Raw genomic sequence first — 25,848 nt, forward strand, 5'->3', positions numbered from 1 at the left:
ATTCCCAGCCCCAAGGAATGAACCATAATGAAATTAAGCCATTCATGATAGTTTCCTTTTCTTTGCTGGTAACTGGCTTAGATGTGGGCATATGAGACTGGAAAGTCGACTTGAGGGCTTCTGAGAAAAGTTTTCCTTGCCGATTAAAAAAAGAGACACACAGGAAGAAATAGTCTCTCTGTTTCTGCTGGACATTGTGCATGTATGTACGTCAGCTAGAATTGTGGCAGCCATTTTGTAGCTATGAGGGGCACTAGCCCAAGGCTGTCAGAGTGAAAATATGGAAAGAGTCTGGGTCACTGATGATGAGGCAGGCAGATCACTTGAGGTCAGGAGTTAAGACATCAGCCTGGCCAACATGGCGAAACCCCACCTCTACTAAAAATAAAAAAAAATTAGCCGGGTGTGATGGCACATTCCTGTAATCCCAGCTACTCGGGAGGCTGAGGCAAGAGAGTCAATTGAACTTGGGAGGCGGAGGTTGCAGTGAGCCAAGATCGCGCCACTACACTCCAGTCTGAATGACAGAGTGAGACTGTCTCAAAAAAAAAAAAAAAAAAAAAGAATCCTAACGTACCTACCTCCAGGTTTCTTGTTATATGAGATAATTCATTTTCCTTTTTGTTTAAGACAGTTGAGCCTGGACTGGAGGGGAAAATAATTAGTTTAGCCTAGGGACATTGAGGTGATGGCAGAACAACATCCTTTTAAATCCTAAAGCTCAGGGAACATCAAGGTTAAATTTGAATTTGGGAGTCACCTATGGAGAAATATTCCATAAAGTAATACATCTTAGAAAGCAGACCTGTACCTGGAAAAGCTGCCTCTGTGCTTGAGGAATTCCGGTGACGTAAGAGAACATTGCACATACATGTGTAGTCATTTCCTAACTGGATATGCTACTGTCCCAGGTCTTTGTGTCCCATCTGGAGAAGGGGAGATCACAGAGCTGGTAGTGAGCTCCTGGTGAGGGAGTTCAGAGAAAGTGATTACAACATCTGGATCCCATCCTCAGATTCTGCTCTTCTCAAGCCTGGCTTTTATGGACCTTGATAGCCATCTACAGTTAACTTAAAACATTCTAGTCTAGTGTGGATGGCTTTGAAAATGGGTTATAAGTAACTTTTAAATTCACTGACTTATATATCTTTTAGTAAAGATATATGAAAATCAAGGTTCTGACTATCTTATAGACCTCCTATGGGTGATACTATAGAAGCCTTAAAGGAAGCATCACATTCTATGGGTGATACTGTAGGAGCCAGGGTTAAAAAAATGTATAACATGAAACATCAAGGAAAAGGCCAATGTAGAACATAGAGGTTCTAGAGCTCAAGCTTACGAAGTGTTAAACAAAAATTATGGGAGGCCATTGTTTTGGACTGAGCTTTTGCACCAGGCCACAACAGAATAGACCAAACCAAATCGAGTCCCTCCTGCTAAATGCCACATAATCAAACTTGAGGTACATCCCACAACAGACCAGCTTTTCCTGAAAACAGGAGATTTCAGTTTACCTGAGTCAGAATAAGGAAGTCCCCTCTGCTTTAACCCTTACCAAAAAAGTAACCCAAAGTAGCCTGATGTTAAGCAATCAGCTCTTCTTCCATTGCTCTATTTCCTTGTTCCCCTCTTTTAAAACCCACTCTTCTGCCATTGCCCAGTGAAAGCTCTCATTCTATTCTGTGGAATGGAGGCTACCCCAATTCATGAATCTCAAAAGCCAATTCAATCTATAACTAAATTTGTTGTAATTTTGTCTTTTGCCATAAAATAGTTTTGAAAGTTACCAATCCATAGGGCACTATTGTTACTTTAAGAAAATACATTCATAGAACGGGGGAGGAGATATTTTGCAACATCAAAATACTTACTTAAGATTGCTTGAAAAGGCCAGGCGCGGTGGCTCACGCCTGTAATCCCAGCACTTTGGGAGGCCGAGGCGGGTGGATCACGAGGTCAGGAGATCGAGACCATCCTGGCTAACACGGTGAAACCCCGTCTCTACTAAAAAATACAAAAAATTAGCCAGGCGTACTGGCGGGCTCCTGTAGTCCCAGCTACTCCGGAGGCTGAGGCAGGAGAACGGCATGAACCCGGCAGGCAGAGCTTGCAGTGAGCCGAGATCGCGCCACAGCACTCCAGCCTGGGCCACAGAGCGAGACTCCGTCTCAAAAAAAAAAAAAAAAAAAAAAAAGAAAAACATTGCTTGAAAAATAACTTTTGAAATTCCAGTATACAGAACTTTCCTATAGGCTCATCTTAGTGAGTAAATGCACACACCTGCACAATATTTACAGAGAAGCCTGTGCCTTCCCTGAGACAACTTACCCCATTTCTAAGTTGCCATTGCTGGGTCTACCTTGAAACTACTCTTGCTTCCCTAAGCCAAAAAAGAAATTAAAAAAAGGCATATTTTAATGAACTGGAAGAGCAAATGCAGTCTCCAAAAATGGCTAACTTCAATCCTGCAGTTATTTAGAAAGGAAAATCTGGCTTCAAACACTATTGTCTGCAGGCAGGGTTTGCAATTGGCCAGGACCAAGGACAGTGTTTAAAGATGACTCAGTTGTATGGCCTGGGGAGAGCGGGAGTGGTGAAGGGAGACCAGCCAGTGGTCCTTCTAACTGAAAAGGATGCTAGGTCAATTTTTTATGACCTCGAGTCTGTGAAGGCTCAGACCTGCTGAAACCTAGGAGGGGATGTCCAGTGTAAGAAAATCTGAGACCCCAGGAAATGCACTTTCAAATTATCTGAATGGGAGGTGGGTAAGACTCAACTTCCCCCTCTCCTACATCCTCCCCCACCCCCGTGGGGCTTCAGGCTAGGATTTCGGCAGAGAAATCCCTCTCCTTCCAATGCTTTAGGGTCCAACTGGGGACCTAGCCGTGTGACCTTCGCCATACCCCGGAATCTCCTTTGGGACGTCCCCGAGGCCCTCCCTGTCCGGGGCTCAGCAGGCGTCCGCCCGTGTCCCAGCCCCCGAGCGCCCGGGATCGCCTGGGAGACGCATCCGCCGCCCACTGCGCATCTCTGGCCCGTCAGCTCGGAAACCCTCCGAGCCTCACAGGGCCGCCGCCCCGGCCCCTCCTGCTCCGGCTGTCCCACCCCAGCCCGCAGCGCCACGTCCACCGGGTGTCCGGGGCCTGCCGGGGCTGCCCTCCTCCGCCTCGCCTGCGCCCGCCGGCGGCTCGCTCCCCGGAACCCCGGGTCCTTTCCCCCGCCGCCGCAAGCCCCCCACCCGCCGTCCTTCCCCGGCACCGCCCGCCAGGGTCGCTTCTGCAGCCGCCAGCGCCCGCCGCCGCGCGCTGATTGGCTGGCGGGGCCGACGGCGGCGCTGAGTGGCCGGGCGGATTCGCTGGGTCAGGGCTGCAGAGACGCCTGGCGCACCCGCGGGAGCGGAGCCGTGGCGCGCTCGCCCCGGACGCCGGCCGCCCCTCCGCTCGCCCTACTGAGCGAGCGGCCCGGGGCGCCGAGGGGTCCGCGCCGCGCGGGGCGCACCGCCCTGGCCGCCATGTGCTCCCAGCTCTGGTTCCTGACGGACCGGCGCATCCGCGAGGACTACCCGCAGGTGCAGATCCTGCGCGCCCTCCGGCAGCGCTGCTCCGAGCAGGACGTGCGCTTCCGGGCGGTGCTTATGGACCAGATCGCCGTCACCATCGTCGGCGGCCACCTCGGTGAGCGAGGCGGGCCCGGGGAGGGCAGGGAGGCGCGCCGGGGTCCACGAGAGCCGGTCGGGTGGGCGCGCTCGCCGGGCCTCCCGCAGCAGAGTCTCCTTCGGGCCCGCACACTAGCCGCACTCTAGCTGCGAGACTTCTTGGGGTTGGAGAAAGCCGCTAACCTTCATAGCTTCTTTAACCACCACCACCTGCCCCGAGGCCAAGATTCGAGAACGCGATTTAATTTACTTAGGGGACTTCATTTTGTGAGAAACCCGAATTCACCTGAAGCCACCCAGGTGTCCGAGGAAAATCAGGCTGTTAAACCCCACATTTGCAAATCCTGCTCGCATCAATACCTTGACAGTTTAGACTCTGAGGTTTCTAGAAATCCACACCAGATTTACAAAATTACTATTAAGATGACTGTTTTAAAAAAGTTTTTTGGGAGTGTGTGAGCATCAGTAATGTGCACCACATAGAATATTATTTCCAAACTAGAAAGCCACATATGGGGGAAATCTGAGAAAGATTGGAGTCACTTCTCGAGTGTAAAGTGGGAGTGTAGACCTTTGATGGGTTTAACTCATCCTTCTCCCTAGCAGCGTTGAATTCTGATTCCAGAAGAGCCGGGATTTCAGGTTCAGACAGTTCTGGCCTCACTGATCACTCCACTGCTGTGTTCAGGAGACTTTTGTGGGTAAGACATGGTTGTCATCTGTGGGTTTGACCTCAAAAGGTTAATTATTTTTTCGTATATCCTTAATACAGGCCTCTCTGATTTAGGAATCCCTGACGCAGAAAACCCTCTGGCTTGCTGTTTGAGTGTCTCTGGGGCTCCACTGGAGGCATCCAACCATTTCAGGGAGTCCAGGACTCAAAAGGATTTGCGCCCAGTTCAGGGTGCATCTTGGGATACTGTTCGCATTATTTCAACAATTATTAATGGTTAAATAAGCTCGTAATCTGTTACTTTGCTTTGGCAGGGGAAGGAATTTCAAATTCGGAAAGACTACTTACAAGTGAGATTTTGAATATGACCTGTTTCTGAGTGGAATATATCTGTTATAGATTTTTCATCTCCAAGTTTATCGAAGTCCCTCATACTTAATATCAGATTGTATATCCTGTTGGAGAAATATACCATAAACATTAGGTACCTTACATTTAATCTACAACAATGACTATCAGATGCAACCGGTACCCTCTCTCTATCCTTGATTTATTAAAACTGTCACAGTTAATGTAGAACTAGATTTCTGAACAGGGAATCTGCAGATGTGAATTCCTATTACAGCTTTACAGTTAACAAGTATCTTGGCTTTGCTTTGGGCAAACCACTTTTGTCTTTGAATCTCGGGATTCTTATTTATAGAAACTAGGGGTTAAGGTTCCTCTCACTTTATGTGTTTCAGGATCATATTTAAATTGTATAATCTGTTGTATTTCACCGACCTAGATTAAGTAGTTAACATGTACATCTTTCTACCCAGGATGAACTTTTTGCTTATTTATTTTACAGTTTGTAAAGATGTCTCTTTTTTGAGATACAGTAGCCAAATTCCACATCACATTTAGTTTGTAGAACCGTCACAAATTCTGTAAGAGCAAGAAAATGCTCTGTATCTAAAACCTCATTTTAAAGAATCAGTCCTAAAAAAAAGATAAAATTAAATGCTAGTGCCACAGGAAACACTCAGACCCTTTTGTTTAGTGTCTTAAATGTTAATAGAATTCATGTGTGAAAATACCTTAATCTATTCACAAACCAGGAGTTCTTTTTTTTGTTTTTTTTGAGACAGAGTTTTGGGTCTTGTTGCCCAGTCTGGAATGCAATGGCGCCATCTTGGCTCATGCAGCCTCCACCTCCTGGGTTCAAGCAATTCTCCTGTCTCAGCCTCCTGAGTAGCTGGGATTACAGGCATGTGCCACTACTTTTTTTTTTAATTTTTATTTTATTTATTTATTTATTTATTTATTTATTTTAGTAGAGACAGAGTTTCACCATGTTGGTCAGGCTGGTCTCAAACTCCTGACCTGAGGTGATCCATCCGCCTCGACCTCCTAAAGTGCTGGGATTACAGGCGTGAGCCACCGCGTCCGGCCTGTTCTTTTTAACTACAGGAAAATGTACACAGCTATTTGCCTGGTCGATGGAGAAATTGAAGACAGGTATTTTTTGATGCAGTTTTAATTTCTGTTAATTCCGAGGTAGCCTACACAAATCACAAAACGTAGAACAAAACGATTAGATCACCAATTCTGCTGTCCAAAGATTTGTTATGGAAGTAGATTAATTAAAGCACAAGTGAGTCCCAGGAGAATGACCTTGTTGGCTTTGTTCAGTGCTATAATAGTGGCCAGAATAGTGCCTTGCACGTAGTAGGCTCTCAATACATATTTTTTTAAATGAATGAGGATATGATCTCTGGTTCCTAGTTTCTTCTGTAGTCAGACTATAGAAAACACTTGGTAATTTGCCGAGCCAAAGTATTTCTCGAAAAAAAAATTCCAGAATTCAACTTGCTTTGAAATACAGAAATATGTAGTTATGATGATATTGATATTATTTACCATTTGAGAACTACAGAATGTAAGAGCTGGGAAGGATTTTCAGATCAACCATTCTAATTCCTTCATTTTACGAAGAAGAACCTGAGGCTCTGAAAGGTGAAGTGACTTCCTCAATGCCATCCAGCTAGTTAACAGCAAACCTAAAGTTTAAAAACCTGGTCTTCTAATTTCTAGCCCAGTGATATGGAATAAGCTTCCTTTAGGATGTCTGCAGCCTATAGTACCTTTCTCAGTAGATGTGGAATTGAACTGAATTGAGTTATATTGAGGCTAGACAGTGACTTTGCAATGTAATTTTATAATTTAGGAAATTCAGGTATCACCTTTACAAAGCTTTTGTGCCTTCACTCCTTTCCATTGCTTCTTTATGTTAGTGTAGGAATATGATGGTGGAGTTGATTGGGGCAGGTATGGGCAGTGCCTCAGTCTATTGCTTAAATTCATTCCTGAGCTTTTCTCCCTGGAGGCTAGTGGGAGCCCAAATCCAGGGCTTAGAGTTTCAGGTTATATCTGGAAGTAGGATTCAGACAAGAGATTACAAGTTTTCATGATTATTATTTTTAATCTAGCAATCTGAGTGGGAGACAGTGGAGAAAGGAAAATGATCTTTAGGTGACTGAAGTAATCCTGTAGAAAACAGCCTCCCTTCACTTTTTGCTGGGTGTAGCATTATGTGAAAATCATACCCATCTCCGTTTCCTTTTTAGAAACTGCAAGTTCTTCATTCGTTTCATAAATACGTACTAAATATTCTCAACCCTAGGGATAAAGTGATGAATGTGACACCAGAATGCACATAATAATAATGGTCATAGCCATATATGTGTGTGTGTGTATATATATATACATGTATATATGTATATATGTGTGTATATATACATATATATGTATATATATGTGTGTATATATACATATATATGTGTATATATGTGTGTATATATGTATATATGTATGTATATATATACTATATATGTGTGTGTGTATATATATATATATAGTGTTTATTCTGTGCTGGGCATAGGTTTAGCTGCTTTTTACCTATTAGCTCTTCTAAATGCCAATAAGGATATATGGGAATATAGCACTGGCTGAGAGTTAGGACCAATACTCAGTAATTCTGGTCTAAACACTTTGTCTCCTCTCTTCCACTTTATCCCTTGCATCAGTCTACACTGATTTCACCATGCTTCTCTGTGACTCCAGACCTTGCACTAAAATTCCCTCTGCCTCAGATGCCCACTGTTCCCTCCCACATGGTTCACCTTTTTTCATCCTTCAAATCCAGCACAAGTCACTTATCTCTAAAAAGGCTTGCTTGCGCTCCTTTCTCTGTCCTCAAGTAGTCCCTCTCTTCCATCTGCTGCCAAATAGCTTTGTCCATACCTTTTAAAATAGCACTCATCATATTTTGCTATAATTGTCTATTTATACAGTTTATATCCCCCCTCCCTCTGAAGAACCAGGATTCCTCAAATGTGTGCTTCAAAACTGGTACATAGTAGGCCTTCCGTTAATGTTTATTGGATGACTGAATGAAATGTCTTAAAAGCTACTTTGAAGTATGTGAGACTTTTACTGCAATGAGCTAAGGAGCTTCTGTGTGGGGGAGATCATGAGGGGATGTGTAAATGAGGACAGATTCACTAGGAAGAATTAAGTTCTTTGCCCACCCACAGGTCTGTATGATTAATTGGCTCAAGAAACAAGTATAGTCACAAACTCAGGGACAGATACCCACCAAGACATATAAAATGAGTCTGACCTGGAAATGAGGTTGTGTTACTGTTTGTCTCTTAGGAGCAGGATGATTCAGCATTCCTTCCCTTACATTTAGAGCTAAAACGTTGGTAGCTAAATGGCAAATTCTAGGTCAGATTCTTTAAATCAAAGTGTTCTTGGATCCTTTTACAAGGGCTGAGAGTGGGGTGGATGTTTAGTTTATGTTTCTAACAGGAGTTTTTATGGATACCCCATGAACTATGTTAGGAAGAGTTTTAGAACCAGTGGATGAGATCCTTCATGGATCTCAAAGCCCTACTCCTAGATTTCCTTTTTCTTTCCTTCTCTTTCTTTCTTTCTTTCTTTCTTTCTTTCTTTCTTTCTTTCTTTCTTTCTTTGTTTCTTTGTTTGTTTGTTTCTTTCTTTCTCTCTCTCTTTCCTTCCTTCCTTCCTTCCTTTCTTTCTTTCTTTCTCTTTCTTTCTTTCTTTCTTTCTTTCTTTCTTTCTTTCTTTCTTTCTTTCTTTCCTTCTTTCCTTCTTTCCTTCTTTCTTTCTTTCTTTCTTTTTGAGATGGAGTCTCACTCTGTCACCCAGGCTGGAGTGCAGTGGTGTGATCTCAGCTCACTGCAACTTCTGCCTCCCGGGTTCGTGCAGTTCTCCTGCCTCAGCCTCCCGAGTATCTGGGACTACAGGCATGTGCCACCATACCGGGCTAATGTTTTGTATTTTTAGTAGAGATGGGGTTTCACCATGTTGGCCAGGCTGGTCTCAAACTCCTGACCTCAGGTGATCTGCCCACCTCGGCCTCCAAAAATGCTGGTATTACGGGCGTGAGCCACCGAGCCTGGCCCCTACTCCTAGATTTCTGAGCCACCTGTTGCAGCTACCAGAACACTTCCACCAAATTTGTTGGGCCTGCTTGGTGGAAGGGAGTACAGCCATCACTCAGAGATGTTTGTGTCATCTCCACCCATCCACACCTCACCTCCTTGCCACTACCCTCACTAGCAGGGAGGACACTGCATCTGCATATGTCAGTGTTAGCCTCACCTCACTCCAGCCGCTTCCCTGGCCACTTTACCCATTGTCCCGAGAAACAATTATAATTTGGATTATAATTGTTTTTTGGTTATAATTGGGTTTATATTGTTTTAACACAAACCTACAACATATTCTGAAAAATTTTTTATAGAGACCCTGTCTCTATAAAAATAAAAAATTGGGGGGGTGCTGTGGCAGGCGCTTGTAATCCCAGCACTTTGGGAGGCCGAGGCAGGTGGATCACTTGAGGTCAGGAGTTCAAGATCAGCCTGGCCAACATGGTGAAACCCCGTCTCTACTAAAAAAAAAAAAAATACAAAAATTACCCAGGCTTGGTGGCATGCACCTGTAAATCCAGCTACTCGGGAGGCTGAGGTGGGAGAATCACTTGAACCTGGGAAGTGGAGGTTGCAGTGAGCTGAGATTACGCCACTGCCCTCTACCCTGGGCGACACAGACTCCATCTCAAATAAATAAATAAATAAATAAATAAATAAATAAATATTAGCCAGGCATGGTGAAATGCACCTGTAATCTCAGCTACTCAGGAAGCTGAGGCAGGAGAATCACTTGAACCTGGGAAGTGGAGGTTGCAGTGAGCTGAGATTACGCCATTGCCCTCTACCCTGGGCAACACAGTGAGACTCCATCTCAAATAAATAAATAAATAAATAAATATTAGCCAGGCATGGTGGAATGCACCTGTAATCTCAGCTACTCAGGAGGCTGAGGCAGGAGAATCACTTGAACCTGGGAGGCGGAGGTTGCAGTGAGCCGAGATTGAGCCACTGCCCTCCAGCCTGGGTGATACAGTGAGACTGTTTATTTATTTATTTTTATTTATTCCAAAAAATAAAAAATAAAAAATAGCCAGTCATGGTGGAATGCACCTGTAGTCTCAGCTACTTGGGAGGCTGAGGCAGGAGGATCCTGTGATAGTGCCACTGCTCTCCAGCCTGGGCAATAGAGCGAGACCCTGTTTCAAAAAAAAAAATGTAACTCCAGATTCCACTATGAGAAAGTGATAAATTTAGATTACTTTGTGTTGAGGAACTAACAGGAATACTGATTCTGCATTCCTATAACTCTGTTGTTAATACTTTAGTATACTTTATGTGTCTTAATCTTTGCAACAATCCTATACATTCATTTATTTCATTTAATAAATATTTATTGAATGCCCACTCTGTGCCAGGCATTGTACTAGGCAGTAGAGATAAAATGGAGAGTGGGAACAGAGGCAGGCTTCACGCTCATTATTATGATTTTATTCATTTTTTTAAATCCTGTCAACAGATATCTATTGATGGCCTAGTGTGTATAAAGTACTGTTTCTAGGCACCAGAATAAAGTAGGCAGAAATCTGTGCCTCTCAAGTAGATTACATTCTAGATGGGGAAAATAGGATGTAAACAAGGTAAATAAAAAGTATAGTATATTGGCGAAAAGAGCTAAGCAAGAAAAAAAGAAGAAAACAGAATGTTTCTGGAGGTAAGAGAGGGGATTGCAATTTTAGATGGGGTGGCCGGAGTGGTCCTCACCCAGAAGATGATAATCCGTGTAAAGATCTGAAGGAGGTAAGGATGCAAGCTGTTTAGATATCTGGAGGTAGAGTAGTTTAGGCAACAGGGAATAGCAAGGGGGCCAGCATGGCACAGCAGAGTGAGCCAAGGGATGAGTATTAGGAGAGGAGGTCAGAGAGGGGAGTGGGGGAAGAAGCAGATACATAGGGCCTGGTGGGTCACTGAGGGACTTTTGCTTTTACTCTGGATGAGCTGGGAATCCACTGAAGGATATTTTTTGTTTGTTTGAGATGGAGTCTTGCCTGTTGTCCAGGCTGGAGTACGGTGGTACGATCTCGGCTCACTACAACCTCTGCCTCCTGAGTTCCAGTGATTCTCCTGCCTCAGCCTCTCTAGTAGCTTGGATTACAAGCACACACCACCACACCCAGCTAATTTTTGTATTTTTGGTAAAGACAGGGTTTTGCCACGTTGTTCAGGCTGGTCTTGAACTGCTGGCCTCAAGTAATTCACCTATCTCGGCCTCCCAAAGTGCTAGGATTACAGGCATGAGCCACTGTGCTTGGCCCACTGAAAGCTTGTTTTTTTTTTTTTTTTTTTTGAGATGGAATCTTGCTCTGTCGCCCAGGTTGGAGTGCAGTGGCACGATCTCAGCTCACTGCAACTTCTGCCTCCCAGGTTCAAGCAGTTCTCTGCCGCAGCCTCCCAAGTAGCTGGGATTACAGGCACATGCCACCGTACTGGCTGATTTTTGTATTTTTAGTAGAGATGGGGTTTCACCATCTTGGCCAGGCTAGTCTTGAACTCCTGACCTCGTGATCCGCCCACCTTGGCCTCCCAAAGTGCTGGGATTACAGGCGTGAGCTACTGTGCCTGGCCTCCACTGAAAGCTTTTGACCAGAGAAATGATATGATCTGCCTAATGGGTCACGGAGTCATTCTGGCTACCATGTTGAGAATAGACTAGAGGCACCAAGAGCAGAAGTAGGGAGGTTGCTTAGGAGGTTATTGCTACAATTCAGGTGAGACGAGATTGTTGGGCTAGAATGATTTCAAGGGAGAAGGTGAAAAGTGACTGGGTTTGGGCATATTTTGAAGACAAAGTGGTCAGGATTTGACTACTGGATCAGATATTGGGTGTTCAGGAAAGACTAGTCAAGGAGGACTCCAAAGTTTTTGGCCTGAGCAGCTGGAAGAATAAAATATGTTATTTGCTGATATGGAAAGGAAGACAGGTATAAGTTTGGGCAGGTGAGGAATATCAGAACTCAGTATGAGTTGCACATTAAACATCCAAGGGGATATGTCAGGTAGCCATTTATGGAAAGATTGGGATTCAGGAAAAAGGCTTGGCTTGGAGATACCAAAGTAGGAGCACCTTTACACACCTATCAAGGGAGTGACTATAGATAGAGAAGGGTTCAGAGATTGAGCTCCAGTGCTTAGTGGGCAGAGTGAGTAGGAGAAACTAGCAAAGAATCCTGAGTAAAAGAAAAATGAAACCCAGGAGAGTGGGTGTCCTGTAAGCCAAGTGGAGAGAGAAAGTTGTTTAAGAAGGAAGATGTGATCAGATCATGTCAAATGTTGCTGCTAGGCCAGACACAGTGACTCTTGCCTGTAATTCCAGCACTTTGGGAGGCCGAGGTGGGCGAATCACTTGAGGTCAGGAGTTCGAGACCGGCCTGGCCAACATGGTGAAATCCCGTCTCTACTAAAAAATAAAAAAATTTAGCCGGGCGTGGTGGTGCGCGCCCATAATCCCAGCTACTCTGGAGGCTGAGGTGGGAGAATCGCTAGAACCTGGGAGGCAAAGGTTACAGTGAGCAGAGATCGTGCCACTGCACTCAAGTCTGGGTGACAGAGCGAGACGCCATCTCAAAAAAAAAAATGTTCTGGTAGATGAAGTCGGATGAGGAATTATAATTGATTTAGCAATGTGCGTGTAGCATTAGCAACCCCAATAAGAGCAGTTTCAGGTAAGTGGTAGAAAAGAGTGAATATAAACAGTCTAAGAGTTTTGTTGTAAAGGGAAGGTGAAAAACAGGATGATAGCCCAAAGGCTATCAGGATTGAGACAGGATTCAGAGGATTTTCTTTTCCTTTTTTTTTTTTTTTTTTTTGAGACGGAGTATCGCCAGTCATCCAGGCTGGAATGCAGTGGTGCGATCTCAGCTCGCCGCAACCTCTGCCTCCTGGGTTCAAGCGATTCCCCTGCCTCAGCCTCCTGAGTAGCTGGGACTACAGGCACATGCCACCACACTCAGCTATTTTCTGTATTTCTAGTAGAGATGGGGTTTTACCATGCTAGCCAGGCTGGTCTCGAACTTCAGAACTCAAGTGATTTGCCGGCCTCAGCCTCCCAAAGTGCTGGGATTACAGGCGTGAGCCACCGTGCCCAGCTGAGAGGCTTTTCATAAAGAAGGGGTAAATAATGGTACATTTGTATGCTGTTGTGAATGATCTAATACAGCGGGAGAAATTGGTGATGTAGGAGAGACAGGCAAATGGCAGGAGCAGTGCTTTAAGTGGCTGAGAAGGGCTGGGATCTACTGCGTATTTGGAGGGGTTGGTCTAAGCTAGGAGTAAGGACAATTCAGCTGTTACAAGAGCAGAGAAGGTAATCTATATGTCACAGGTGCAGGTGGGTGGGTAGATGTGATAGTGGGAACTTACAGAGAAGGTCTTTTCTGATTGCTTCAGTTTTTCACATTGAAATAGGAAGAATGAGAAGATGGGACAAAGTAATAAAAGTGTAAGATAAGAAGAGAAAGTGTGAAATAGTGTTGTGGTTGATTGAAGGGACTAGGGACATATAATGATTGCCAGACATTAAGGGTGCCCATGAGACAAGTCAGCAGGTTTGTGTATTTTCCCTAGGTACGTTTCATTACAAAGGAGGGACATAAAGGGTTGAATTGGTCTGGCCAGAGTTGTGGTTTACATAAACAATAAGTGGGTGCAAGGATTTGAGGGTATATGCAGGAAGTGATCATGGTGCTTGACTATGGAGTTTGAATAGGATAAGAAGGGAAGTTGAGGATATGAACGGAGGGACAGTGAAAAGATGGTGGTACCCGTGGATGGTAGCTTCTTGTGGGGTCAATGCATAGCTGGGTCAAGGAATAGTACTAGAAGAAGCAAGCTGGAAAGATAGGAGGAGTGGTTGGAGATTAGAATAAGGATGCTTGCACAAAGTCTAGAATGTAACCAGGAGTGGTAGCTGAGGTGGGATGGTGGAGAAGATCCTTGGAGAAAAGGAGGTCAAGACATTGAGAGTCCTTGGCATTGAAAGGATTCTTCATAGGGACATGGAAATCACCAATATTTCTGATAGTGTAAGAGTAAGGAGCTAAAGCTTCAAGAACAGAGGGAGTGACCTGGGCTCTGTAGACGACTTGCACAAGAAGGGGTGATGTGTTGTGTGGCCTGATGAGATTCAGGCTGGATATTTTAGGGAGGAGAGAAGGCAGAATGGTCTTCTAATTGCAATCAGGAGCGAGGAGGATATCTAGGCCCAGTAATCTGTGGCGAGAGGGGAGAAAACAGCCACAACTTAGAGGGCTGTTGGGGAAGCGGTGTCATTGGCGAGAGACAGGATGCAGCTTGACTCAGAAAAAGAAGGAAAGTGAAGGGAAGGCACACGGAAAAGGTTGAGGATAAGGGAATTTTCTGTCCATTGAGTTTCAGAGGGCAGAGTGGAGATGGGAAGAGGTGGAGGGTGGAATGAGAAAAGGCAGTGTCAGAGCTATATGGGGTATACAGTCCAGGGAAATGATGTGGCCTCAGAGACTGAGACTTGGGTGACTGATATGAACAGAGGAGAAGGACTTGCTGAGCTTTGTCTTCATAGCTGAAGAAAGATCATGTTGTGAGATGGCGAGGGAGATGAGGGAGGAAGGTTTGCCAGGTTCTGGGGCCCTTCCATTTTATAGAAGAGGAGACAGACCCAAAGCGATTTTTGTGTCTTGCCAAGCTAAATGAGAGCAGCTAAATAAATCAGGTCTCTGACTTGAAGGCCAATACTGTATCCACTTTGCCAAATTCCCTTTCATCTCATGTTGTTTCAACTTCTTGAAGGGCCTTTCCAAGGAGTTACTTTAGCCTTGAGACATTCTTGAACTCAGTGCCTATAAGATGCAATGTCTTACTATTGATTTGTTTGAGAGGTAGAGATTATGAATTTATTAGTTTTCCACATTTCTTCAGAGTTTAGAGGCATGAGGTGTCAACATTTCCTTTCTGAAACTTTCCTTGATTTTTCTCTCTCCCCAGGCAGAGATAATCATCCTAACTGCTCCCTCCTCCTTTGCTCTCCCTGGACCCTGATGTAGGTCTGTTGGAGCACTTAGCACATTGTGTTACAGTCAGTCTCCTCTCCCTCCCCCTGCTCAACAAGACCCAGGTGCTCTACACAGAACATTAACAGCATTAATAACAACTGTGTGTTGTCTGTCTTCTTAAATTCCAGGGATATTGTTTGTTTTACTCACACCTGTCAACTCCCATGCCCAGCCCTTAAGAAGACAGTGCTTGTTCCTTCCCTGTCAGTCCCTTTGGCTTTTACCATTTGATTGCACCAGGGCCCGGCTTCTGACTACCAGCACCTGCACCTGTTAGAGGGCTTTGTCTGGTACAGGATCCCACGTTGCCCACACATGTATGGCAAGCCAGAAGGGTCAGGAAATTAACACCATGCCCCTGGAGCAGCCTTAACCAAAAACTGAGTTGATGTATAAACACTTGAAATTGGCTGGGCATAGTGGCTCATACCCTGAGAGGTAGACATTATGAGTTTATGAAATCCCAGCACTTTGGGAGGCTGAGGCAGACAGATCACCTGAGCTCAGAAGTTCGACACCAGCCTGGGCAATATGGTGAAAACCCGTCTCTACAAAAAATACAAAAATTAGCCAGGCATGGTGGCTCGTGCCTGTAGTCCCAGCTACTCAGGAAGCTGAGGCAGGAGAATCACTTGAGCCCGGGAGGCAGGGGTTGCAGTGAGCCGAGATCGCGCCATTGCACTCCAGCCTGGATGACAGAGCAAGACCCTGTCTCAAAACAAAAACTTGAAATTGTCAACTCCCTGGCCTCTCAGGTGGAATAACTGAAGTGCATGTACTAAGCCATTTCCTAGAGTTCCTCAGCAGGATTCAGCTCTGGTTGCTGAGAGGTGGTAACTCCCTTGATAAAGTATGTTTTGTTTGCCTCATTCCCTTCTCTATGCCCCTCCCAACATTTCCTGAAATTACTATCCAGAGAGACTACTTGCACTTAAATCCTGTCTGAGTGAGCTTCTACAGAAACCAAACTAACACTAGGCTTGGCCCAAAGTAGGTGCTAAATAAATATTCCCTGAATGAATATGTGAAACAATCAATGTGTTTCAGGAGTGAAAAAAATGCATATTTAAGTTGTGTATCTTTCTCTGTGAGGAGACTATAATCTCCTGGTAGGCAGAGACCATCTAGTTCAACTTTGTATTCCTGCTTAGTAGTGTGTCTGAGTCATACCAACCAGTTCAATAAGTGTTGAATTGAATTAAATCACCTCAAAATCACAGTTGGTGGAAAGAGAAAATGGCCACATAAATGTCTGTGGGTTTTAGTGAGGTGGAGGTGAGCTTTCTTTGGGCATTGTCACAAAGAACTTTAAAAGGGAAGGAGAGGGGTGTGGCATCTACTTGTTAAAAATAAAAATAACTGTTTTACGAGAAAATGCTGTGGGTGGAGTAGGAAGAAATAAGGGGAAAGGTGGAAACTGATGGAGGTGTGCCAAGTCATGTTTGGATGACACATCTTCCTCACAACACAAGATAATCTGAAGTGCTAAGTGGATTATCCACTTTTATTTTTTTATTTATTTTTGAGACAAAGTCTCACTCTTGTCCCCCAGGGCTGGAGTGCAATGGCGGGATCTCGGCTCACTGCAACCTCTGCCTCCCGGGTTCAAGCAATTCTCCTGCCTCAGCCTCCTGAGTAGCTGGGATTACAGGCGCCTGCCACCACGCCCAACTAATTTTTGTATTTTAGGCAGAGACAGGGTTTCATCATGTTGGCCAGCCTGGTCTCGATCTCCTGACCTCAGGTGATCTGCCTGCCTCGGCCTTCCGAAGTGCTGGGATTACAGGCGTGAGCCAGTATGCCTGGCCTATTCACGTTATTTATATAGTTGATTCCTTTCTGGTAACTTTCAGAGTTTCACTGCCAGCCACTGTTACATGATCCTGCTCAAATATAATGGTTCTAAAAGCTACCATAAGTGAGGTCCTTGTTTGCTGTCATGCTTTAGTATCCTGCTGTTTTCTTAATTTTTCTGCTTGTTTTGTACATGAAGGTTTTTTCTGGCATACCAGACATCCGTTTGGTGTTGAAGCTTTCTTTAGTGAATCCAAGGATGCACATGTGTGCACACATATGTGAGTGACATGCATGCACAGGTTGGAGGGTGATGACTCATTATGTATCGGCTTTGTGTAAATGCAAAGACATTTATAGTCAAATCAATTCCAAGGATCTGTATTATAAGACACCTTTACTTTAAACGAGATAATGTGTGAAAGTTCTTAGCAAATAACCTAAAACGCAATAGAGGCTCAATAAAAATCTTGTCCGAATTCAAATCTGAACTACAAGACCTTTTATTATCCATGCCTCTGCTTCCCTCTGTTGTTATGATGATTGAGAATGGTTAAGTTTTAGAACTCTGCTTTCCAATAAAGATTTATTTCTGAAGCTATTTCTCTTTATCATAAAGTGTATTTCTTCGCTATTGCACATACAAATGCGTAAGTCCAGTTATGAAGATTTTTTTTTTTTTTGAGACGGAGTTTCGCTCTTGTTGCCCAGGCTGGAGTGCAATGACGCGATCTCAGCTCACTGCAGCCTCTGCCTCCTGGGTTCAAGTGATTCTTCTGCCTCAGCCTCCCAAGTAGCTGGGATTACAGGCGTGCACACCACCACGCCCAGCTAATTTTTGTATTTTTAGTAGAGACGGGGTTTCATCATGTTGGCCAGACTGGTCTTAAACTCCTGACCTCAGGTGATCCACCCGCCTTGGCCTCCCAAGGTGCTGGGATTACAGGCGAGAGCCACTGTGCCCCGCCTAGTTATGTAGAATTTAACCCAGTATATGGGTTAGAAAAAACAGACTCTGTTCTTTGGGAAAAGTTATCCTGGTTTTCTATCTTGTTTTTAATACATCAAAATATTTTCAAATATAAATAGAGAATTCAAAAGGAAATCAGAACACAATTACCCATAAAAGTAGATTATTCTTTTTTAGAACATAGAGAAAATATTGTTTTGGTTTCAAAAAATTGGTTTTAACTGGGTTGGCAGTTGGTCACTGTCCTAACTTGTTTGAGGTTTGATCTTTTTTCCACTAATATTTCATTGACCTATTTGGGGACAGAGTGGTTGTTTTAGTTTTTTTTTTTTTTTTAAGTGGTTTGAGGCTAAACATAATCTCAAGCCCACCCCATGAGTCTGGGAGACCCCAAAATATTCCAGAAACAATTCAGCTGCCTCTCCCTCTCCCCAAGTTAGGGTGATACCCAAGAGCACTAGGGTACTTAATCACATGAAATCTCTTCTTGGAGGGCATGAGCCTCTGATTGTTGAGGGCTTTCCTTCTGTTGACTAGCAACCAAGCAGAGCCCTGTCCTTCCTGATATCCTGCATCAGCTCTTCGTTCCCTTGACTTGAGGTCCGTAGATTGCAGTGGAAATGTTAACGATCCTGGGAGAGGTGATACATTAAGCTCCATCCTGTATTAAGTTTATTAGGTCCTTTCCTGAGAGGAGATTACTTAAGTGGTTAAAGGTCTCAAAATTTACAGACCTTTTGCCGAGGGCCAGCCTTAAACCCAAATTGTCCTTGGCCATGGCTGTGTATAACTGTTGCTCCCACTGAAGCCACATGAGCAGCTGCTTCTTGTCTACTACTATTAGAAATATGATGGCAGTGGCAATGGGAAAGAGCAGGAGGCATGTGAAGTTGCCCATGGCAAGAATGTCAGAGCTAGCGCTGGGGGCGGTGGCTCACGCCTGTAATCCCAGCACTTTGGGAGGCTGAGGCGGGCGGATCACCTGAGGTCAAGAGACCAGCCTGGCCAACATGATGAAACCCTCTCTACTAAAAATGCAAAAAAAATTAGCCGGGCATGGTGGCAGGCACCTGTAATCCCAGCTACTTGGGAGGCTGAGGCAGGAGAATCACTTGAACCTGAGAGGTGGAGGTTACAGTGAGCTGAGAACACGCCATTGCACTCCAGCCTGGGCAACAAGAGTGAAACTCCATCTCAAAAAAAAAAAAAAAAAAAAAAAAAGAATGTCAGAGCTGTGTCAATGGGCAAAGATTGTGATTAGTTTTGCAACTGCATCCCTAAACCTGTCATGTCCCTCTCTGCACAGGCCTGGATAGCCAGCATGCACAAGACCTGTCTAACTGCTTAGTAGAGCCTTTTGGGCTATACTTTAACCCATTCCATTCTTCATTTATTAAAGGCTTCAGTTGGAATGAGCCAGGCCCAAAGATTTACCTTTGGAGAAGAGAGATGAAGTCCTGGTAAGACTTCCTAGGTCTATGTGAATCTGCTCGTTGAGGCTGAGTTGTCTCTGTCCACTTGTGGTTGGTATTTCCAGAAATGATTGAATTCTTTTCTTCCCATTTAGAAGTTTAACTGTTTGTCTGTGGTCTCATGTTGGGATTTGAAAGCCAGACGTTTTTGCTGCTTCTCGTTTCTCTAGGTCATGTTTCTGTTGTAAAGCTGTTTTTCTTGTGAGGTGGTAAAAATCTCCATAAGTTGTCCTACTTTGCTTAGTAGAATGTCTTCTGTGTAGTAATAATGCCAGTGCCTTACATATGTATAGCATTTTATAGTTTTCAAAGCATTTTCACATATATTATCTCACTGTGTAATGTTGTCCTGGGTGTTCTGTATTTACTATCTTAAGCAACTTGAATATTTTTCTTTTTTCTCCAACCACTTTTGAGGCTACTACACATGGGTTACTTTTACCTTTCGCATTATTTCCCCCAAGGGCTGTAAGTGTCAAAGGAATTTTTCAAAGAACAGTAAAAGCATCTGTAAGTGATACTGTTTTCTGATGGCAAAGTGAAGATAACTTGGATGCTGTTTATAACCCTGAGAATTAGGTTCCAGTTCCTTGGACTCACATGATCAGCGGAAGTACAAAAAACAGTTTATTGTAATGATTGTTCCTACCCCTCCCCTTTTTAATCAGTGAAATATCTCCTAGAATGGGGGAAAGTGTGCAATTCAGGGCCATGTAGTAGTTTTGTGGGTGTTTTGTTTTTCATCTTTGTGCCTAGAGCTTTTATATTGATATTATTCATCACCTGGTGGAGAAATTGTAACTTCATTAGCACCCTTTTCCCCCTAGAATTATGTGGTTATGCAGTATAATATCACTTACAAAATAGAAGGTGCTTTGGGTTAAAGCCTATAAAATATCTCTGTAGACTGTGTTTTAAAGGTTTTTTTGCCTGGGCACAGTGGCTTATGCCTGTAATCGCAGCACTTTGGGAGGCCAAGGCAGGAGGATCACTTGAGACTGGGAGTTTGAGACCAGCCTAGGCAACATAGCAAGACTACATCTCCCCAAAATTTTTTTTAAAATTGGCCAGGCATGGTGATGCACACTTGTAGTCCCAACTACTTGGAAAGCTGAGGTGGGAGGATCGCTTGAGCCTAGGAGTTAGAGGTTGTGGTGATCTGTGATCACACCACTGTACTCCATCCTGAGCGATAGCAAGATCCTGTGTCTAAAAAAAAAATAAAATAATACAATATATTCTTTAGAGCATTTTAGAGATTCCTTCAAGGTTAATTAGAGCAGACCAAGTATAATTCCTTGAACTAGCTTCTCATTGCCCTACTCATGCCATATCCTGTCTGCATCATTCCATCACCAGATTCTGGGTGCACCATGGAGACCTAGGTAATGACATAGAGTAATACCAGCCATAGGATGTCAGGACTGGGAGGGACCAAGCAAGTTGCTGTGAACCCCTCTTACCCTTGCATGCTCTCTTATACCATCCTTGAGTAATGAGCCTTGGCCCTTACATCCTAAGGGAGTGGAAAAGTATCCATTTTGTTGAGCCCAAATCCATCTCCCTATAGCATCTATTCAATTCAACAAACACTGAGTGCCTACCGTGCAGCAGGCACTATTCTAGGTGCTGAGGATACATCAGTGAACAGACAGACAAAATAATGCTCTTATGGATATCTCTGTCTCCTGGAGTTTTAGAAGACAAGCCAAATAATTCTTCTGCACTGAAGCCCTTCAGAAACTTGAAGACTGTGCTCCTGTTCCTCTGAGTCTTCACTTCAAGCTAATATTCCTACTTAACCCAGTGGAATACAGCATCACGTCATCTTGCAAAGTGGATTGGTTGTCTTTGGATGCATTCTAGTTTTCTTTGATATTGAATTGAACTGATTTTTAGTAGACTGATTTTTCAGAAAGTTTTTTGTTGTAAAGGTAATAAGTACTTGGAGAAATTTTGGAAAATACAGACAAGTATAAAATATAAAGAAGACATTACCTGTAATTCCATTACCCACTGTTAAAATGTTGGTATATTTCCTTCTAGCTGTTCCCAATTTGTATCTGTTTATATAGTGGAGATCATAATGCATTATTTATAATTTTATATCCTGTTTTTTCACTTAACATTGACATTTGTGCATTATGTTGATAAAATCATTTAAATGGTTGCATAGCTCAGCGCAATGGCTCACGCCTGTAATCCCAACACAGGAAGGCTGAGGCGAGTGAACTGCTTGAGCTCAGGAGTGTGAGATCAGCCTGGGCAACATGGCGAAACCCCATCTCTACAAAAAACACAAAAATTAGCTGGGCATGGTGGTGCACGCCTGTAGTTCCAGCTACTGGGGAGTCGGAAGTGGGAGGATTACTTGAGCCTGGGAGGCAGAGGTCGCAGTGAGCCAAGATGATGCCACTGCACTCTAACCTGGGTGACAGAGTAAGACCCTGTCTTTAAAAAAAAAAAAAAAAAAAAAAAAGGGCTATATAATGTTCCAATCAGATATAAAAGAGTGGTAGGGATTCCTAAAGTGGGCAAAACTATTTCCTTTTCATTAAGCCTTCCACCTCCTAAGCCACTACACTTTGAGTCATACTTGTCCTATGGGAAGGAAGGTGACTGTATATCTCCTGTGGATTCTTTTAACCTAGATTATTCTTGATATGCTTTCTTTCTGGTCATTCCTTTGTGTTTCCTCATGATCATGCTCTGCCTGTTTGTTTGGCGTATAGGGTTGCCTATAGAGTTTCCTTGTACACCAGGATGTCCAGGGGGCCAATTTTGAGGCTCTGTTCCTACTAGGTTCAGTCTTGAAGAGTCTGTTGGAACCATTTCTTCTGGTGGACTAAACGATAGCAGGCACAGCACTCACTGTTGTCCTTGAATTGCAGGCCTCCAGCTAAACCAGAAGGCCCTCACCACTTTCCCGGATGTGGTGCTTGTACGGGTACCCACACCCTCAGTGCAGTCAGACAGTGACATCACTGTCCTGCGACACCTGGAGAAGCTGGGCTGCCGGTTGGTCAATCGCCCACAGAGCATCTTAAATTGCATCAACAAATTCTGGACGTTCCAAGAACTGGCTGGACATGGGGTCCCCATGCCAGACACCTTCTCCTATGGTGAGTCAGCTTGAAATAGCTTCCCAAATCATGTGCATCTCTGTTTTCTTTCCTTAGAAACCTTCTAGTATCTTTGTTGCTTTTGAATGTGAGTCTGTTGATTCAACATCTTGGCCTATCTGAAATCTTTATCCTGGCCTTTCTATCTGAAAATGCCTTGGCGTCTTCCCTTCTGTAAGTTATTCATTAAATACATATCTGGTACACACTGTGTGCCAGGCAGCATGCTAGGCACTGGGTTACAGCATTAAGCAAGAGGCTCCTGCCCTCAAGGCATTCCCAGTTCATCAGAGGCAGAGGACAAGTGAACAGGCAATTTCAGAGCAATGTGAAACATGCTATGAAAAGAATAAGTGCAGAGCGGTGCAGGAGTATGTAGGAGAGCTCCCCAGTGCAGTTTAGACATTGAGGAAGTCTTCCTAAAAGAGCTAACATAGAGTTACGCTGAAGTTATCTAGCTAAGCAAAGGGAGATGGTGGAAGGGAGGTAATGTAACAAGAGAGCAGAATATAGAAAGACCCAGAGGGGAGAGACACCCTGACCTGTTGGTGGTATTCTGAGTAGTTTGTAGAATGTTAAGAGAGATATAGCTAAATATAAGGCTGGGAAAATAAGAGGGCACTATATACAGCAGGTGAAGGAGATGAGGGTTAATCCTGAGACTAACAGGAAGTTATGGGAGGGCTTTAATCAGGGAGGTGACCTGATAAGAGTTATAGTTCAGATGATCACTTTGGCTATACTGTGGAGAAGGAATTGGACAGGGGCAAAGTAGAGACAGGACAAGTAGTGGTAGGTTTTTAAAATAATCCAAGTGAGCAACGATGGTCTAAACTAACAGTGGGAATGAAGATGTGTGAACAGATTCAGGAATTGTGAAGTTTGTAGAAATAATAGGACATGATGATTGATTTATATGAAGAGTTTGGAGAGAAATCAAGAGTGACTGGTTTCTGATTTGAGCAACCAGATGTGAAAGCAAACATTTGCTAAGACTAGAAATGTGGGAGGAAAGAAGCTGATTTGTGGGTAGGGGGTGAAGGATTATAGGGGAGAGGTGATTTCAGTTTGGGACATGATCTGTTTGAGGTGTCTGTAGTACATGCAAGTAAAAATATTTAGTAGGCAGCAGATAAATGAATCTGGAGCTTCTGAAAGAAGTGCAGACTAGGGAAGTGGAGCTGGAAACCTTCATTATGTGAGGTGAAGTCCGAGGAATGGATGAGAGTACTCAGGGAGAGTGTATGTAGGAAGAAAAGAGGGCTGATCTGTTCACCTAAAATGGTTAAAATGGTATATTTTATGTATATTTTAACACCAACATTTTTTTAAAAGAGGGAATCCTTTCGGGCAGTGGTCCCCAAGCTTTTTGACACCAGGGACCGTTTCATGGAAGACGATTTTTCCACAGATGGGGGTGGGGTGGGGGAGGATGGTTTCAGGACGAAACTGTTCCACCTCAGATCATCAGGCATTAGTTAGATTCTCATAAGCGGTGCACAACCTAGATCCCCCTGCATGTGCAGTTCATAATAGGGTTAGAGATCCTATGAGAATCTAATGCCGCCACTGATCTGACAGGAAGTGGAGCTCAGGCAGTAATGCTTGCTCACCTGCTGCTCACCTCCTGATGTGCCGCCCGGTTCCTAACAGGCCACAGCCTGTTATTAGGGTTGGGGACTCCTGCTTTAGGGAATGGGTACAGGAAGAGGAATCTATAAAAGAAACTAATCACTTGAGCCCAGGAGTTCAAAGCTGCTTTGAACTATGATCATGCCATTGCCAGCCCGGATGACAGAATGAGACTCCATGTCTAAAAAAAAAAGGAAGGAGGGAGGGAGGGCGGGCAACTTGAGAGGTGAGAAGAGAAAAAAGAGAGATCAGAGAAGCCAACGGAGAGAGTATTCCAAGATGGGTGGTATAATCAAAAGTATTGTGTGATTCCAAAAGGACAGGTAACATAATGCGACTTGTCAACATTGATGTGTGTGTTGGGTTCAGCAAAAGGGAGTTTAATGAATACAGCTTCAGTTTAGTGCTGGAGAGAGGGAGAAGGAAATAAATGGGAAGTTAGGAAATGGAAACAGTGGCTTTCTATAACTCTTTCAGTGGCTAATGGTAGGGATACAAAGTTATAGTTAAGGGATGATGCAGGGTCAAAGAATAGGGACTCTTATTTGCTTAAGATGGAAGATAATTGAGCATGTTTAAAATGCCCATGAAATTAGGAATTGGGAGGTTGAAGATATAGTAGAGAGGGTGCAAAATCCCTGGGGAGTTGAGAAAGGGCGTCTAAAGCACAGTGGGCCAGGGATGGATTAGGAAGACCTCTCTTACTGCATCGAAAAGAAAGGAAGGAAGGATGGCTAGAGAGAACATAAGCTTATCAGCGGGATGGCGGGAAGCTGGGAGTTCCCTTCTTACAAAACATCCTCTTCATGAAGATGCCCCTAATTACGTTCACGGCCTCATTTTCTTTTTTAAAAATCATTAGCACTCTTGTGAACTAGACAGGTCTTGTTAGTATTCTAGAGTATTTTGCTTTGCCTGTGGTAGGCAGAATAATGCCACTCCCCCACCCTGAGATACCCAAGTCCTAATCCCTAGCACCTGTGATTATGTTAGTTTATGTGGCAAAAGGGAATTAAGACAGCAGATGGAGTTGGTTGCTAAGCAGATGACCTTAAGATACAGAAATTATTCTGAATTATCCAAGAGGGCCCAATGTTGTATATGTCCTTAAAAGTGGAACAGGAAATCAGAAGAGAGAGTCAGAGGGAGAGGTGACCGAGGAGGAAGATCATTGTGTTGCCATGTGAGGACTCTACCTGCTGTTGCTGGCTTTGGACATGGAAGAGGGCCATGAGCCAAGGAATGTGGGTAGCCTCTAGAACCTGAAAAATGCAAGGAAATAGATTTTCCTCTACAGCCACCAGAAAGGAATCCACCTGGCTAACTTTTTTTTTTTTTTTTTGAGACAGGGTTCTGCTCTGTTGCCCAGGGTGTACTGCAGTGGCATGATTGTGGCTCACTGCAGCCTCGACCTCCTGGGCTCAACTGATCCTCTCACCTTAGCCTCCCAAGTAGCTGGGACCACAGATGTGCACCACCACACCCAGCTAATTTTTGTATTTTTTGTAGAGATGGGGTTTCACTACGTTGCCCAGGCTGGTCTCAAACTCCTGAGCTCAGGCAGTCCGCCCACCTCGGCGCCCACGAAGTGCTGGGATTCCAGGCATGAGCCACCACACCTGGTCTTGGCTAACATTTTTTTTTTAGCCCAGTGAGACCTGTGTTGGACTTCTAACTACAGAACTGTATGACAATAGATTTGTGTTGTTTGAACCACCAAGTTGTAATTTGTTACCGCAACAAGAGAAAACTAGTGCCCCACTGTACCTACAAAACACATGTATTTAGCACATTTTTGAGAACTAGGAAGTAAACAAAAAGAACCTCTAAGCAGCCCAAATATGTGTCACAAACTCCAACAAGCATTGAACCTCCCTCTCTTACTTAATGAATGGGAAAGCCCTCCAGACTTATCTGGAACTTAGTTTCCCCTGTGCTAGAAAAATCTCACAAGTTGCATTGTCCTCTCTAAGCCCACAGCAAAGAGAATCAGGAAAAGAGG

At 44.1% G+C, this 25,848-nt stretch overlaps 1 protein-coding gene across 3 annotated transcripts in view, besides 3 other annotated features; it reads left to right on the plus strand.

Annotated features, from left to right (window-relative positions):
• Positions 2,979-3,158: a silencer, noted in NCBI's record as "silent region_759". NCBI's record gives its function as "represses an Ori minimal core promoter by ATAC-STARR-seq in GM12878 lymphoblastoid cells {active_cell/tissue: GM12878}" and the evidence as "EXISTENCE:reporter gene assay evidence [ECO:0000049][PMID:35858748]".
• Positions 3,169-3,288: a silencer, noted in NCBI's record as "silent region_760". NCBI's record gives its function as "represses an Ori minimal core promoter by ATAC-STARR-seq in GM12878 lymphoblastoid cells {active_cell/tissue: GM12878}" and the evidence as "EXISTENCE:reporter gene assay evidence [ECO:0000049][PMID:35858748]".
• Positions 3,369-3,588: a silencer, noted in NCBI's record as "silent region_761". NCBI's record gives its function as "represses an Ori minimal core promoter by ATAC-STARR-seq in GM12878 lymphoblastoid cells {active_cell/tissue: GM12878}" and the evidence as "EXISTENCE:reporter gene assay evidence [ECO:0000049][PMID:35858748]".
• The window catches only part of RIMKLA (ribosomal modification protein rimK like family member A), a 43,441-nt gene continuing 20,964 nt past the window's right edge, over positions 3,372-25,848 (plus strand). For 2 of the 3 annotated variants that reach the window (NM_173642.4, XM_006710585.4), the window contains exons 1-2: positions 3,372-3,677; positions 21,984-22,214. In NM_173642.4, the coding sequence (NP_775913.2) occupies positions 3,515-3,677; positions 21,984-22,214 (394 nt within the window). In that variant the 5' untranslated portion in view covers positions 3,372-3,514. Of the gene's footprint in view, positions 3,678-19,019; positions 19,081-21,983; positions 22,215-25,848 lie in introns of all 3 variants that reach the window. The other variant, XM_047418484.1, reaches the window with a different exon arrangement.

The sequence above is a fragment of the Homo sapiens genome, chromosome 1, assembly GCF_000001405.40.
Source record: "Homo sapiens chromosome 1, GRCh38.p14 Primary Assembly".
Classification (NCBI taxonomy): Eukaryota; Metazoa; Chordata; class Mammalia; order Primates; family Hominidae; genus Homo; species Homo sapiens.